The sequence below is a fragment of the Homo sapiens genome, chromosome 11 (assembly GCF_000001405.40).
Source record: "Homo sapiens chromosome 11, GRCh38.p14 Primary Assembly".
Lineage (NCBI taxonomy): Eukaryota > Metazoa > Chordata > Mammalia > Primates > Hominidae > Homo > Homo sapiens.
The window spans coordinates 78,212,919-78,227,923 of NC_000011.10; the positions used below are offsets into that span (position 1 = coordinate 78,212,919).

Sequence of the window (15,005 nt, forward strand, 5' to 3'; positions counted from 1 at the left end):
GGAGGGGGTCCCACTACCCACGTGAGCCTCCTGTGTGACTCCCTAGAGTCAAGGGTGGCACTGGCATACTGAGCAGCTGGAACAGCATGGGCTTTGACCAGTGGGATGGGTGCCAGTGCCTGGAGTTTGTGTTTTGTGCGGGGGAATACAGCAACTGGTGTGGGGACACCAGACCGGGTGTCACCAACATCAACTCCTTCTTCCCCAAGGACACAGCCTATGTGCTGTTTTACCAGCAGCAGCCCAGGGAGGGGCCTGAGGCTGAGTCAGGCTCTCAGGGACAGCTTCTGCCATGCTGTCCAGATGGAGGCAGGGTGGCGGGTAAGGATCGCCATGAGGCTGACGTCCTGGTAGCAGGAGGATGGGCTTTCTCATAGGCAGAGCCCATTCCTCGTGATCATGAGGCCTGCGGACAGGTTCCCGTGTGGTGTGATATGACCCTCGAAGTCCTCAGACCTCTCGGTACCACATTAGGCCCTTGTCAGCTAGTCAGTCACACCCTAGTATCAGCTGGCTCAGGGACTAGAGTTTTTATTGAGAGGAGGGGGTCTTTTGAAGTCTTTTGAAGGTGTCCACCCCGGATATCCTGCCACTGAGCTGCAATGTCTCTGTGTGTCCAGGCCCTGGGGACCTAGAGGAAACATTGAAAGGTGTTGTGCTGGGTAGACTCACTCTGGCTTCAGGGTGTGAATTCTAAGTCTAAGTCTCCTCTCATCTGTGTTCCCAGGAGCAGGAGAAGGAGGCCCGGAGCAGGGCGGCCTACATCTCTGCACTCCCCACATCTCCGCACTGGGGGAGGGGCTTTGATGAAGACAAGGATGAGGATGAAGGCTCTCCAGGGGGCTGCAATCCTGCAGGTGGCAATGGTGGTGACTTCCACAGACTGGTCTTCTAATGTGAACCTGCTGCCAACCTGACCCCTTCCCTCCAGGAGCCAGGTAGGGCCTGAGGGAAGCTGTGGAGGCAGGCCCTACCAAGAGGAAGGATGGTACAGCTCATGGCACCTTAGTCCTCAGCCTGATGAAGGGTACACAGAGATTCTCTCAGATATGGAAGTAAGACCTAAGTCCCTTTCATTGGGGATCAGTCCCATTAAAACTTTACACCCAAGTGTCCTGGTTAACTTGAAGCAGCCGAGATGGGCACACACGGGTCTTTGCCTCCCCCTCCTTCCCTAGCAGGCTCCCCATGCGGGAAGATCTGATGATGTTCAGGAAACAGGCTAGACCTCAGCTCCAATGTTTTGACATCAAGTACTATTTTCCTTCCGACTGCTGTACGGTATAAAGCACAGCAGGATCCAAGCCTTGCACAAAGGGGTGGGGGGGGCAGTGTCTCCTCTGGCTGTCCTGTTTGTTTGTTTCTCATATGGGGGTGGGGGGTACCTGCACTGTCTGTACCTTTCTGAGAAGAACAGAGACCGAGACCTGCCCCCTTACCAAGCGCCACTGCATGGTTTTGGGGGGGGGGGCGGGGGGCTAGCTTCTCACAGCAGGAGGCCTTTGCCCCCACAGCCCCTCCACGCCTGCCTCAGGGCCTGAGAAGCCACCACTTGTATCCCCCTTGTGGTTAGAGTCCTGATTTTACTGCAAAGGTGTTCATGTTCCTTGTGAAGTGTGGGCTCTTAGGAAGCCTGTGGGCTCCTCTGAGCAGTTGGCCTTTGTAGCTGCAACAGCAGCCACCTGCAGGTTGGGTGAAGTGCCCTGACACTGCTGTAGCCCCCTTCTAACTTCTAACCGAAGACAAGACAGACACCCATGTTCATAAATAAATAAAAGTAAGCCTAAGCAAGAGATTGTTCTTCCTTGGACTCAGGGGCTGTGATGGCCACTGGGTTTTGCTCACGGGGTCTGGGGAGGCCAGGACTCAGCCTGCCCCCCAGTGACGTGTGAGATGCCACAGGGAGCCAAGAGCCCTCTACTGAATCTACTGAAGTGGGGTGTAAGTAAACGTGTGGACTGACTGACTTACTTACCTTACTGAGGGCTGGGTGATGCTGCCCGTGGAGAGGATGCACCTGGGAGGCAGCTCTCAAGCCTTTACCTACCTCCTTCCCCAGGGGCTGCCTGCTGTGATGGTGGTGTGGAGTTTGGGCCCAATGTCACAGACCCTCAAGATGTCACATCTAAGTGACCTGTGAAAGCAGCAGACAGACACGCCCAGAACCCATCTCTAGACGCCTAAGAAAGCTGGATGGGTAAATGCTAGTATGATTTCCACTTTACAACAGACGCTGAGGTAGAGAGCATTTGTTCTTATTCACAGCCAAGAAAAATACCCAATTATTTCCAAATAAAGCAAAAATTGGAACAGACTGGAGTGAGAACGGGTTCCACCACCAAGCCCCTCAAGACAAGATGGACACGGCAGCTGGTTCTGGGGTGCATTTCTAGTGGACTTTATTGTCCTGCTCCAACACCACAGTAGAAAGGGACCTGCAAGCTCCAAGCCTGTACCATGTGTCACCACAGCAAAAACATGACCCACTTGAACACACTCCTGTCCCACCCACCGGATAAATATGTTACAATTTAAAAAAAAGAATACAACAGAATAAATTAATAACTTAAGTGATTAGGCACCAACAGTGATTTGAAAATTAAATGTCAATTTTAAATGGTAACAAGACAAGAACTCAAGACTGGGCTTCCACTAGCCCATTTTCTCTTCCTGACAAACAGTGACAATTCTGCGTGAAATAATTCTAGATTTCAAGACACAAGTAGCCAACAAATACACAACACATGCCACCATAAATCACATGACAGCCTGGATCTCTTGGGGACCCCCTCGGCAGGTACCCCATTGTGGTCCCAGGTCCTAAACAGCAGGGCTAGTCCCAGAAAGACGACCCCCCACGGAAGGGCTTTAGCGCTCCTGAGACCAGTCTGGCTTCCCCTGCATTTTATGAAGGCCCAGATGGGGAAGGAAGAACTCTGGAAATGGGATAGGGGTGCTGGGCCGAGATGTCCCCATGGGAGAAGGGGCCAGAGGGAGGATGAGCTGAGCCCATGCTCCAGTAACTTCAGAATGGTTGTGCTTTTGTCACAGGAATGGGGCATACTTTGTTAACTTCTACATTGGAAACCACTAAAGTCAAGCTAGGAGGGGACTGGGGATAGGTACTGCCCACCCCAATCCCCCAGAAAGAAGTTACAGAGGAGGGAGTCTCCCCTTCAAGCAGCTGAGCACCAGCTGTGGATGGGACCTCAGCGCAGCTAATCCAACCTCCCATTCCACAGACAGGCAGATCAAGGACTTAAGGAGACACCATCTCCCTATTTCTCATCGTTCTCACTTGACTTAACCTTGCAGAAGTGGAGCTGGAAGTGGGTGAAGAAGGCTCCTTGGAGAGCCCCAGGCAGGGGGCCTGTGTGAAGCAGTGCTGAGTGGGAAGGTATCCCCTTTCCGTAGGCTCAGTCCTCTCCAGGCCCCCAGGAGAGGTGGACTTTGACCCATGGATAGGCCAAAGGACCAGTTTTTTCAACTGAGTTGACTCCTTTGTTGGAGGAGGTAGTGGGTGGAGGGTGGGGATATGCTAGATACGGCTGGTAGTTTGGGGCCTGTGAGCCAGAGCTTTGCTTTCAAAAGGTCAATTTCACCTCTCATCCTTCCATCTCTACCCCTACACTTGCACCCGAGGGATTTTGGTAGTTACCAGAATAGGGGGCTGGAAGGAAGCCTCCTGGTAGTTACCAGAATAGGGGGCTGGAAGGAAGCCTCCTGGGAGATTCGATTTGAACACCTCAGTCGCTCTCCGAAGATTCCAGCCAGGTCCACTCACATCATGGCACACTCAGAACATGCTCACATGTTTATGGGAGGCTGCAATAGTCTGGGCCCACTTGTGGCTGCTGCGGGTACAGGGAAGGCACCAGTTAAAAGCTCTGTCGTATGGGGCCCCTTGTAGGGGGCCTTTAAGGCACACATTCAGGGCTGGGCAGAGTGAACCAGCACCCTGCCAACTCTGCCCAGTGTAGCTACCACCACTGCTTCCATTCACTTATTGGAACACCAAGGCATGGCCCCTACACTTCTGAGTGGCTGGACCCATATGCTCAAAGGCCTTTTGTTCCCAAGACACAAGGCTTTCCAAGCCTCTCCTTCCTTCTTCCTCCACTGGACCCAAGCCCTGCCCTCCTCCTCTGTAAAAATCTGACTCATCCCCTTCTAAGGCCTACCTCAGGCACTCCCTTTTCCTAGAATCCACCTTCCCTGATCCCCCACTCCTGCCTCTGACACCAACCTCCCTAAGTACTTCCTCTGCCCTCCATCAGCATTTGAAGTCTCTGTCTGATGGCCATCACCACTGTCTCATGTCCTTGTCCTTTTTCTGATTGTGGCTATCTTAAGTTCAGGGAGAAGGTCTGATTGATTCTTGTGTCCTTAGTGCTTAACCCCAGAAACTGGAGACAGCAGCCATTAATAAATACTCCTTGAGTTGATCTAAACTAATGCTAGGAGGAGAGGTGCAGCTCTTGAAGAAATAACTTCTTCCAGGATGGGACTTAGAGAATGGCTAGGCCATTGGTCTGGTGAACTATGCATGCTCATGGGAGCTGAAAGGGGAATGGGGGCAGAGGACAGTGGTAGCTGTCCCCATCAAACATGGCAGGAAGTCATTGTTTGGGAGGAAGAAGTTCTGTTCGCCCCAGGGTAGAATGAAACGTCTGGTCTGTCCTGTTGCTTCTGAAACTCTTGAAAATTTAGTCAAGAACAGTCAACATAAAAACATTCAGATCCCCCACCCTTAGTTTAAGAGAAGGAACCTTGGGTGATGCCCTACACCCCGTCCCTGCTAATCTGATGGCCTTTCAAACCTGGGGAGGAGAGTCCAAGATGGCTCCTGGAATGCTAGGGAGCAACAGAGGGCGGATGAGCTGAGGAAACACTGGGCCGGCACCAGGCCAGACTCGTTCCTACCCTGCGATCTGACATACGCCACAGCCCATGGGCACAAGCTGTCAGCCATGCCTGATGTGGTCCTCTAGGCATCATTCTGCCCTGCTTTCTCCTTGTCCTGCCTGACCCACTGTCCCATCCTAGGAACGGTCCTCATGTCACACCACCATGCACACCACTCTTGCACGTGTCCCTCCTTCACTTTCTGCTCCACCCTGCACCCCCAAGGATTGCGTTGGGCACCCCCCAACTCCCAGGCCCTTTGGATGTATTTCCCCACTTGCTACATGGCCTTCACCACTGCTTCACATCTGTCTGCTACCTCTGTGCCCGACTTCCACTGCACTGCTCACTGCAAAGAAACTCACTTCCCGACCCCACTGCAGAGTCCCCTGCACTGCCCTGTGCCTCTGCCCAGCCTGTGCCTGTCCCAGGGTTCCCCTCAGTCCCTGCATCACCCCCATCCACACCACACTCCCTCCCATATTCCCCACCCCTTTACCATGTGTTCCTGCCCCATGTGCTTGGTCGCCCAGCTTGGTCCAAGCCTTCCCCTGTATGCTGCTTTCAAGGTGGGGCTGGCGGGGGCCTCTGAGGGGACTGGGGAAGAGGACTAGCCCTTGGGCCTAGAGTGGCCTGTAGCTCCAGAGTTCTGGGGACCCAGACCCCACAGTGTCCTTGTCATCTCCACCACCCGAGCTCCAAGCCCTGCTCCTTGCTGCTCTAGGTTGGCCATCAGTTTTCCCTTCCTTTTGTCCTTCATCTTCTGCCTCTGCACCCCACAGCAGCTGTCCTGCCATGGCCTCAGCCTCAAAGTGGGTTCCCTGCAGATGTCAGCTTTCCCTCTTCATCTGGGCATCTAAGTCCTTTACCCCTCAAGACCACTGCTGAGCCTCCGTCTCCACCATCTCCTCTTTTAGTGGCCTTGCTTCTCTCCTGCCAAGAAAAACAGGAATGAAAAAGTCCATTATCCACTTTGGTTTGCTGGTCCTTGACTCCCTGGGTTGGTGAGACTTGTCTTCTGGGACTGAAGGAGAGGTAGCCCAGTGGCCGGAGGGAAGATAGCTGAGGGCTGTGACTGAACGTGAGGTGTGGAATCTGGCTCAGAGCCCCAGCCCTTCCCTCCAAACATCTGGTAGAGAGTCAGGTCTAAAGGACAGGAAGAGGCTGAAGGATGCTTTTTGGAAGTAGCTCCTAACTAAGGTGGGTGGAGGCATGGCCATTACTGATAAAAATCACAGCTGGGCCCCGAGTGGGCAGAGGAGGTGCCTTGATCAGGCCCTCACCTCCCAGGGGAAGGGTTCAGGGTCCCTGATGTCAAGTGCTTTGAAGGCTGAGACTGGCAGAGTAGAGAGGAGGTGGATGGGAGGAAGAACGGGAGAGGGGAGAGGGGAGATGGGAAGGGCCAGCTCTGGAGATGCTGCCTCCTGGGCTCTGCGGTGGCCCTCTCATCACAGCTTGGCACCCTTGGAAGGCTCTGAGGACTGCCGCACGTCTGTCCACTCCTGCATGGTGTTCTGCAGGGCCTGGGTCTTCTCCTTGTCCACCTGAACGTAGTCCACCTTCTCATCAGAGGTGACGGATGAAGTAGATGGCTGAGGGGACAGAGTGGGAAAGAGGGAGTAGCTGTGAGTTACCAGTTAGGTGGGGAGGAAGAAGGTGGGCACGGGATCTTCCTGAGCTGTCTGAAGGGGAGAAGAGCATGGCCTCTGCCTGCCACTGACCAGCCTCAGGAGCCTGGCTTCTCTTTCTGAATGTGGGCTTTAAAGCTCAGACTCCAAACTCATCATCCCTCCTGCAGGATGTAGCAGCACCTGCCAGCCCTTCTTACTTCCCGGCTTCTGGGAGGACCCAGGCCCTTCCTTGGCCCTGGTGGATGGGTCCAGGCCTTCATCTCTGCCTCCACCCATCTCTGTCAGGTCGCTCATCCAGGGGAAGGAATTTGCTAGGTGCAAACAAACATCAGCCACAGGACTTTACGTGCTGTGCTCACTGCCACCCTGTGAAGGGGAACCATGCTGAGGCACAGCTCTGCACCCTTCTGTCTAGACTGCTTAGCTATAAGGATGCCTCCTGGGGAGGCTTTCCCAGGCCTGGAAGTCCCTTCTGAAGGCTGATGTATCGACGGCAGGGCTCTGGACCCACTCGAGAGCCCAGGACCAGGAGGCAGTATCCTCATTCCTGGATCTGTTGCTGATTCACTTTGTAACCTTAGGACAATCAGATCTCTGTGCACTCATTTGCCCATCTCTACAACACGGGGGATGGGCTGACTGATGAGGTTCTCTGACTGAGGGTACTGTGCTCTGAGAGCAGGAATAGGAGTCTTTAGACCTAGATGAAAGCTCTATGACTAAAGATGCATCATAAAAGCTGGGTACTGGAGCAGGAGGGAGGCTGAGTGCTGCTGTTCAGTGTTGAAGGCACCCTGGCCTCCATGATCTCTGCCTCCGGGACCCTGAGAGCTCTTACTGCCCCCCCAACTCTACTCCAGGCACCTTGCGGTGGGGGCTTGGGGAGCTCGGCTGGAAGTCCAGGGCCAGATAATCAACGCTGCCGGTGCTCTTCTTAGGGGCAGGACTGTTCGTGCCACTGGGAACGGGAGATGCAGACACTGGGTTTTGCTGTCACGAGGAGGAAAAAACTGTGAGTGACTGCAGAAAACAGACTAACCCACCACCCAGAAAAACACCTCTGGGAGTAAGAACACTGTTTCCCTGAGCCCTACTCTGACACATGCACCATGCTAAGGACTTTTCATGTTTTCATTTTAATCCTCATGACAATCCTGTAAGGTAGGTATGATTACTGTTGATACTGTTTAAAGCAAAGATGAAACTGTGGTTCACTTTACTTTCAGAGAAGTGACTTTGCCTGTGGCTGCACAGCTGTTGAGTGATGGGAATCAGGTCTGTTTTCTGACTTCCAAACCTGTGCTAACCCCTGTACCACACTGCCTCCTTTCTAGCACATCAGGCCAAGTCTCATCAACAGTGGCTCTCCTGAGACATCCAGCCTTTGCTTGCTGGCGCTTAAGAAAGGAGCACATTTCCTTTATGCACTGGAAAGTTTTCTTCTGTCGCACCAAATCAGCCCCTGTGAAACTCCCACCTGTGGCCTAGAGTGGGGTAGTCACCCCAAAGCAGCTTGCTCCCCCGCCTAGCTCCTCCAAGATCTGAAGAGGGTGGCTTCATCTCCAGGCTGCACAAGCCCGCATTTCTTCAGATGACACGCTCTAGGATCCTGTCCATCCAGGCTCGTGCTCTAGCAGAGCACCACCTCCTCTAGAACTTTCTGGAAGTCTTATTCTAATGAGAAGGTGATAGTCCTGTGTTCTGTTTGTTGGCTGCTTTACTGGTTGGTTAATTCATTCTTTCACTATCTATGCAGTGACTACCAGGTGCTGGGCAGTTACGCCCTTAATGGAAATCTCAGGGAAGAAATATCCTCCTCTGCCTGTGTTGATAGCTCTATTATGGCCTCACCAAAGTGAGTTATGTGCACGTATGCCTCTCACCACTGAGGAGATACCTCCACCACTGAGGAGATACCTCCAGCACTGCCTATCCAAGGGCACAGATCATGCCACCCATGTCACTGTCATGAGAGGCAGGCCCCTGCTCTTGAAGACCATGACTTCGTTGGGACAGGTCTCATGTCTTCCTTACATCTGATGACAACTCCTACTGCTTGATAAACAGGTGCTCAAGAAGGGTTTGTAGCAGGAGACTAAATCATGAATAATACAAGGAGTCCCTGGGCTGAGGTGAGTTAGCTAAGCTGGGAAGTGGGGAACTGAGGGGTGGGTCCCAGGGGACTTGAAAGGCGTCATTCCAGCGAAGCCCGAAGGACTCACCATAGGGACATAGTTCTCTTCGCTGTCTCCTGAGTCTGTGCTGGTGATGCTCTGGGTGGAGATGGGGCGGCAGTACTGGGAGGAGCTGGAGTTGAAGGTGTGGCTGTTGTGGGAAGGAAGAGTTAACACTGGGGAAGCTGCATGGCTGCTGCCATGTTTCTAGCCTCCAGCTGGGCCCTGACCCTCACACACCCAGACCTCAGCCATTAGAGCTGCACACTCCATCAGATTAAGATCTGATATAGGGCAGGTATAATTATTCTCTTTTACAGCTGAGGAAACCAAGCCACAAGACATCGAGACATGATCAGCTAATGATAGCGTTAGCATCAGAATCCAGCTGTCCCGGCCCACAGGCCAGCTACCACATCACTCATTTTCCCTAATGGCCCGACTCCAAGCTCCCACCCCCACACATACGCACTTACTTGGCCCTAGACCAAGACTTGGTGATAGGTGACTTGAAGGGGAGTTCATCGATGACGGTGTTGTTCCTCAGGTCAAGTGGTGTTGGCTTTGCTGGAGCAGGAAAAGAAAGTCTGGTAATCAGCCAGTAATGATAATGCTACACATACACACCTTATATATAACACATGAGCATGTTTATAAAGGCCTGCAAAGTCATTCCAGTTTCACACAGGGAAACTGACGCTCAGCGAGGTTGTATAATCTTTGCCCATATTGATGAGCCTTGAAGTCATGTCTTCAGATTCCAAATTATATATTCTTTCTGCTGTATCTATGGTAATTATATTTTCAGAATCAAAAGTGGGGACACAGGGTTTGACAACAGATTTTTCTCCCTCAATTTATGACTTCATTTAAAAATAAAAGACTATATATAAAATATATTTATATATTAATATATTAATATTTATAAAAATATATACTATTTATATATTAACACACATATATGTATTTTTTAAGACGGGGTCTCACTCTGTTGCTCAGGCTGGAGTGCAGCGGCGCAATCTCAGCTCACTGCAACCTCTGCCTCCTGAGTTCAAGTGATTCTCCTGCCTCAGCCTCCCTAGTAGCTGGGACTATAGGCGCCTGCCACCACGCTTAGCTAATTTTTATATTTTTAGTAGAGACGGGGTTTCACTATTTTGGCCAGGCTGGTCTCGAACTTCTGACCTCAGGTGATCCACTCGCCTCAGCCTCCCAAAGTGTTGGGGTTACAGGCGTACAGGCGTGAGCCATGGCGCCCAGCCAAGAGACCATATTTGAAGTATAGATGGTCACCGTGACTACTCCCTGCTGCTCCTGGCCAGGTCGGTGCAAGCCACAGTGGAGGAAGGTAGATGCCATAAGGGCTTGAGGGCTTCAGTTCCAAATGCTAAGATTTGAATTCCCTGTTGGCCAGACCCACAGGGGGCTATCTCTGCCTAGCTATCCTACTCCTCCCTTTGAATCCTTGCCACTGATCCAATGCCAGGAGAGTGAGATTGTAGCAGACGAGGACCTTGCCTGGTCTACATGCAGGGGGCACAAAGCTGACTTTACTGAACGCCTGCTATGTACCAAAGTACTATCCTAGATGCTCTCCTTTGCAGCAAACCTGGGAGGTAGGAATTACCATCTGCATTTCACAGATAAGAAAACTGAGACTCAGATTTTACATGATTTGCCCCAAGTCACACCTCTCAAGTCCAGGATCCACATGACCCCTAAGCAAATGGAAAGAGTCCCTAGCCACTGTCCAGAGATGGGACAGGGGAAAGAATGGACTTACCTTTCCGATCAGGTTTGAGGTTGCGGTTGACAGGGGGTGGCTGAATCTCACTTCCTCTGCTGGGGCCTCGGTGCACAGGAAGGGTTGTTGATGGGTAGCCAAGTGAGTCAAAGTGATGGGCCCCTGGGCTCATTGGGATGTAGACGCTCTGGGAATTATCACCTGCTCGTTCCATGGCCAACAGGGTGGAAGAACCTGGATTCATGGGCACATAGTTGTCTTCAGAATTGGTGCTGTCCGATCGGCCCACAATCATTTTCCCTGGCTAGGGAGAGGAACAGTGAAAGAAATACAGCTGTTACTAGCAAGAAGAAACAGGAAGGGGGTAAGACTTTGTAAATGAGGCAAGACAAGTCATGACTGGGTTAGCTATACTTTGAAGCTGTAAGGGAGACCTTGGGGAGACCAAATAAGAAAGCAGAGTAGTGGGAGGCTGAGGCAGGTGGATCACTTGAGGTGAGGGGTTCGAGACCAGCTTGGCCAACATGGCAAAACCTCCTCTCTACTAAAAATCCAAAGTATTAGCTGGGCGTGGTGGCATATGCTTGTAGTCCCAGCTACTCAGGAGGCTGAGGCACGAGAATCGCTTGAAGCTGGGAGGCCAAGGTTGTAGTGAGCCAAGATCATGCCACTGCACTCCAGCCTGGGTGACAGAGTGAGACTCTGTTTCAAAAAATAAAAAATAAAAAAAAGGAAGCAGAGTGGGAGACAAGAATATATGAGGTCTGTGGGCCCCTTCAAGCCTTCACGATCCTTTGGCATCCACTAATAATTTTTGATAAATCTAGAGTATAAAATATTCTTGGTGACTGGGTCCACTTGGCTTTCTGGACGCCTGACCAACACTGTGGGTGGCATAGTCCATAGACTGTAGGTTTGGTTCAGGACCTGCCCTCCACCTCAAGTCCAGACTCACCACTGGCAGGTCAGCATCTCAGGCCCTGGATCAGAACAAGGAGCATATTAGGAGTCCTGGCTCTGGAAGGTGAGGTCTGGGGCCAGTTGTGTTTCCCCAGTCCAGGTTTCTAAGTACCTGGGGCTCACTCCAGGCACCTAGGGGACCACCAAGCTGCAGTCAGAGCTTCTACAGAGTTGTGTGATACAGCAATCCCAGCCTTCCTCTAACTCTTGCTCTATCTGCCGTGACATACAACTAAGCTGCTTCTGCCTTGGTTACCTGATTTCACTGTCTTTTCAGTGGGCCTGAAGCCAGGCCCTGGTCTTCTTGCCTGACACCTTGGAGAACTGCGGTTAGCATCTTCCAGAGGGCAGCCTGGGATCCTGCACTCAAGCCATAATTCTGCCACTTAGCCTGACTGTGAGTACCACCCTTGCCTGGAGTCTCACACTGCAGCCTCCCTCCTGCATGTGAGGCCACGTGGGTAAGGTTGCTGTCTTAGAGGTTCCCCCACCGTGCAGCCTGGGTCTATTGCATTCTAGATCCTCTGCTTACCTACAAGGTTGGTGAACCTTGTAATCCAGTCTACCTTAGCACATACATTTCTTCCAGACTAGAATACTTATATCTTACTTGTCCAAAGACTCAACGCAGGGTTCTGAACTGAGACAAGAACTTGGGCAGGGTCCTAAGATGGAGACGCCATCAATCTTTTGGGGTTGTGCTTTTAATTCCATAAGGTGTGACCTTTTACCTAACCAGGCCGGCCTGAGGACCCTTGGGTTAACCCACACTCACCAGGAAAGAGCCAACTCCATCACTCATGGATTCAGCAGACCGGCCTGCACTCTCTCCACCACGCTGTGGGTACTCGTAGGTCTCACAGGAAGAAGCTGACAGAGGAAGGAGGATTCATAAGTACTCATGGTTGATTCATGTGTTGACACTTACCCATACCCTCACCAGTGTGGTTCAAGGTCTTACTGATACTCCAGAAGATACTACTCTCAACCCCAAATGATAAGGAATTTCTTCGAACACATCACTCCTCAGTTCAAAAATTCCTCCTGGGCTTCTAGATGTAGCTCCAGTGTTAGCATCTGCAGAGAAGCTGTCCTTGACTACTCTACCCTCATCTATGCACCTCTCCTTTGACTCCTACACCACTCACCTGTCCTGCTCACCCCAGCCATCACTTCTCTGAACACCACAGTAACAATACTTGTCCTGATTTATATGTGTTGGTTTTATTTTCCCAATGAGATGTAAGCTCTGAAGGGCAGGAACATGTTTTATGTATGTCTTTATCATCTCAGTTCCAAAACGGAGTATGACTGCTCAAATTGTCGATGGATTGAAAGACGGCAAAGAGGTCTAAACTAGGAGCTGGGACTCTAGGGTCTGAGTCTCATCTCTGGCACAATGACTCTGCAACTCTATTTAAGTCTCTTAACTGTCATTGGCCTCATGTGAGATGGAGACAAGGAGGTTTTGTCCCACCAACCTCTCTGCCTGGCTTAAACAACAGGATGGACAAGAAAAGGCTTTGCAAACCATAAAGCAAGATGCAAAATGAAAGGAATTAATATTGTTCTATTTTTTCATCATACAGAGGAGGTTACATGCAGAGTTGGAATACTCTCAGTGGAAAACAAGTAACAATAGAATTTAGGTACTTCAAATAAAAGTTTTGACTTCAACCAAAGAGATTCAAGTATGATTTAGAAAATATTAAGACCTCGTTTTGCTTTAGCAGTCTGTTAGTCCACACAGGTTTCACTCCAGTTTGGACTGATCTTCTGAATTTATTTTTTAAATCTTTGATTTGATTTACAAATGAATAAAATACAATGATTTGGGCTTCTAAACCCATAATATGTTATACTGTGGTTAATCAAGAATGTCCTATTCTCCATTAGTAGAACATTAACTTCTCTGGGGCTAGCTCTGTTAGACAACTACTACTAACAGCCTCCAGTGCTGGAGGACCAACTGGTAAGGGATCTGGGTAGAAGACACCTATGTTTTTGAGTATCAGTGACCTAGGTGGTTCGTAAGTTCCCCTCGGCCATGGATGACCAAGGACCATCAAACTATTGAGAACCCCTGTGTTACCTCCTCCTCCCTCTGAGTCTCAGCTAGGACTTATACTGACCTCGGTGAAGTCGGCTGTTGTCCATTGCAGGGAGGGTGTTGCGTCTGGGGATGGTGGCAGCGACAGATCTGCTATTTTCACTGATTGGCGGTCTCTGCTGAGGACTGCCCCATCGAGGTGTTTCTGCCTGACTTGGCTTGGGGGGGCGGGGTGGGGGAGCTATGGCTGAGTCCCCAGGAGTGGCCACTGTCATGGCATTGTGGTTTTTGTCCAGAGTGAATGTCCTAGGGATCTGGTAGGCTGAGAGTGGGGTGGCCGGAACATCCATATTGTCTACCAGGAGGTCCCCGAACTCCCTGCACAGGGTGTTGCTGGGCGTCTTGAAGGTGTACACATCCTCATTATCTGTCTCGGAGCCTGTGAGGCTGCCCTTGGTGTGGCCATGGGAGGCCAGGCTGCGGGGGAGGTCGTAGGTACTGTCTCTGAATTCTGTATTGTGCCGGCTCGGCTTGGGAAGGCTATAGAAGCCATGGACTTGACCACTGATCCCGTTGACACAGTGTCCATTGCCCTGGGCAAGTTTTTGTACAGCTGTGTCACTCCTCATGAGAAAAGAGGCTCTGGTGCCCTGAGAGAAGCTGGCACTCCTAAAAGAGAAAGAAGGGAAAGGGCAGGAGGGTGAGACAATTACTAGCTGTGTGACCTTGAGGCAAAGCACTTTCTCTTTCTATACTTTGGTTTAGGCATCTGTAAAATGGTGACTAAAAGCATATTTTGAAGGTTGTTCAGACTCTAGTATATGAATGTTTAAACAATGTTAGACTTCATCCGTCCCCCATCTCCAAATGGCAGTTAATAGCAGGGGTTATAACCCCCACTCCCTGAACAAGTATCAATAAGCCAGATGGATTGCCTATTTGTTCACTGTTTTAAGTACCGCAGAATATGCACATTCGAACACAAATGTTGTGAGACAGTGGAAAGAACCTTTAAGTTGATGACAGGAAACAGCAAACAAGTCATTTTACCTCTCTGAGTCTATTCTGCCACTGTGAAACTAGCCCATGGGTATTGATGTTGTAAGTTGAAAAGAATTATTTGGGTCAGGTGCAGTGTGCAGTGGCTCATGACTGTAATCCCTGCACTTTGGGAGGCTGAGGTGGGAGGTTCACTTGAGGCCAGGAGTTCAAGACCAGCCTGGGAACACAATAAGACTCCATTGCCACCAAAAAAAAAAAAAAAAGAACTAGCTGGGCAGGGTGCTGCACACCTGTAGTCCTAGCTTCTGGTGAGGCTAAGGGAGGAGGATCGCTTGAACCCAGAAGTTCGAAGTTAGAGTGAGCTATGATCGCACCACTGCATTCCAGTCTAGTAAACAGAATGAGACCCTGTTTCAAAAAAACACACGCCCCAACACAAACAAACAACAAACTATTCAAACGTAAGCTCTAGATTTATTTTCTACCATGATTTATGGTTGGTTAAGAGGCATTTTGAGGGGAAAGATCTCTTTCCAGAG

General features: G+C 50.8%; 2 protein-coding genes across 12 annotated transcripts in view, besides 3 other annotated features; one reads left to right on the plus strand and one right to left on the minus strand.

Annotated features, from left to right (window-relative positions):
* The window catches only part of USP35 (ubiquitin specific peptidase 35), a 48,301-nt gene that overhangs the window by 24,000 nt on the left and 9,296 nt on the right, over nt 1-15,005 (plus strand). For 3 of the 7 annotated variants that reach the window (NM_020798.4, XM_011545188.3, XM_011545187.3), the window contains one exon: nt 728-2,314. In NM_020798.4, the coding sequence (NP_065849.1) occupies nt 728-895 (168 nt within the window). In that variant the 3' untranslated portion in view covers nt 896-2,314. Of the gene's footprint in view, nt 1-727; nt 2,315-7,870; nt 9,610-11,691; nt 11,812-12,153; nt 13,264-15,005 lie in introns of those variants that run through there. The other 4 variants (XR_001747930.2, XM_047427334.1, XM_047427332.1 and 1 more) reach the window with 4 other exon arrangements.
* GAB2 (GRB2 associated binding protein 2) overlaps nt 2,375-15,005 on the minus strand; it is a 202,528-nt gene continuing 189,897 nt past the window's right edge. For all 5 annotated transcript variants that reach the window (NM_080491.3, XM_024448782.2, NM_012296.4 and 2 more), the window contains exons 4-10: nt 13,547-14,133; nt 12,190-12,284; nt 10,494-10,758; nt 9,187-9,277; nt 8,759-8,861; nt 7,401-7,526; nt 2,375-6,497 (exon numbers count right to left, since the gene is read on the minus strand). In NM_080491.3, coding sequence (NP_536739.1) covers nt 6,354-6,497; nt 7,401-7,526; nt 8,759-8,861; nt 9,187-9,277; nt 10,494-10,758; nt 12,190-12,284; nt 13,547-14,133 — 1,411 coding nt within the window. In that variant the 3' untranslated portion in view covers nt 2,375-6,353. The remainder of the gene's footprint in view (nt 6,498-7,400; nt 7,527-8,758; nt 8,862-9,186; nt 9,278-10,493; nt 10,759-12,189; nt 12,285-13,546; nt 14,134-15,005) is intronic.
* Nucleotides 10,425-10,514: a silencer, noted in NCBI's record as "silent region_3810". NCBI's record gives its function as "represses an Ori minimal core promoter by ATAC-STARR-seq in GM12878 lymphoblastoid cells {active_cell/tissue: GM12878}" and the evidence as "EXISTENCE:reporter gene assay evidence [ECO:0000049][PMID:35858748]".
* Nucleotides 10,605-10,874: an enhancer, noted in NCBI's record as "active region_5317". NCBI's record gives its function as "activates an Ori minimal core promoter by ATAC-STARR-seq in GM12878 lymphoblastoid cells {active_cell/tissue: GM12878}" and the evidence as "EXISTENCE:reporter gene assay evidence [ECO:0000049][PMID:35858748]".
* Nucleotides 10,915-10,994: an enhancer, noted in NCBI's record as "active region_5318". NCBI's record gives its function as "activates an Ori minimal core promoter by ATAC-STARR-seq in GM12878 lymphoblastoid cells {active_cell/tissue: GM12878}" and the evidence as "EXISTENCE:reporter gene assay evidence [ECO:0000049][PMID:35858748]".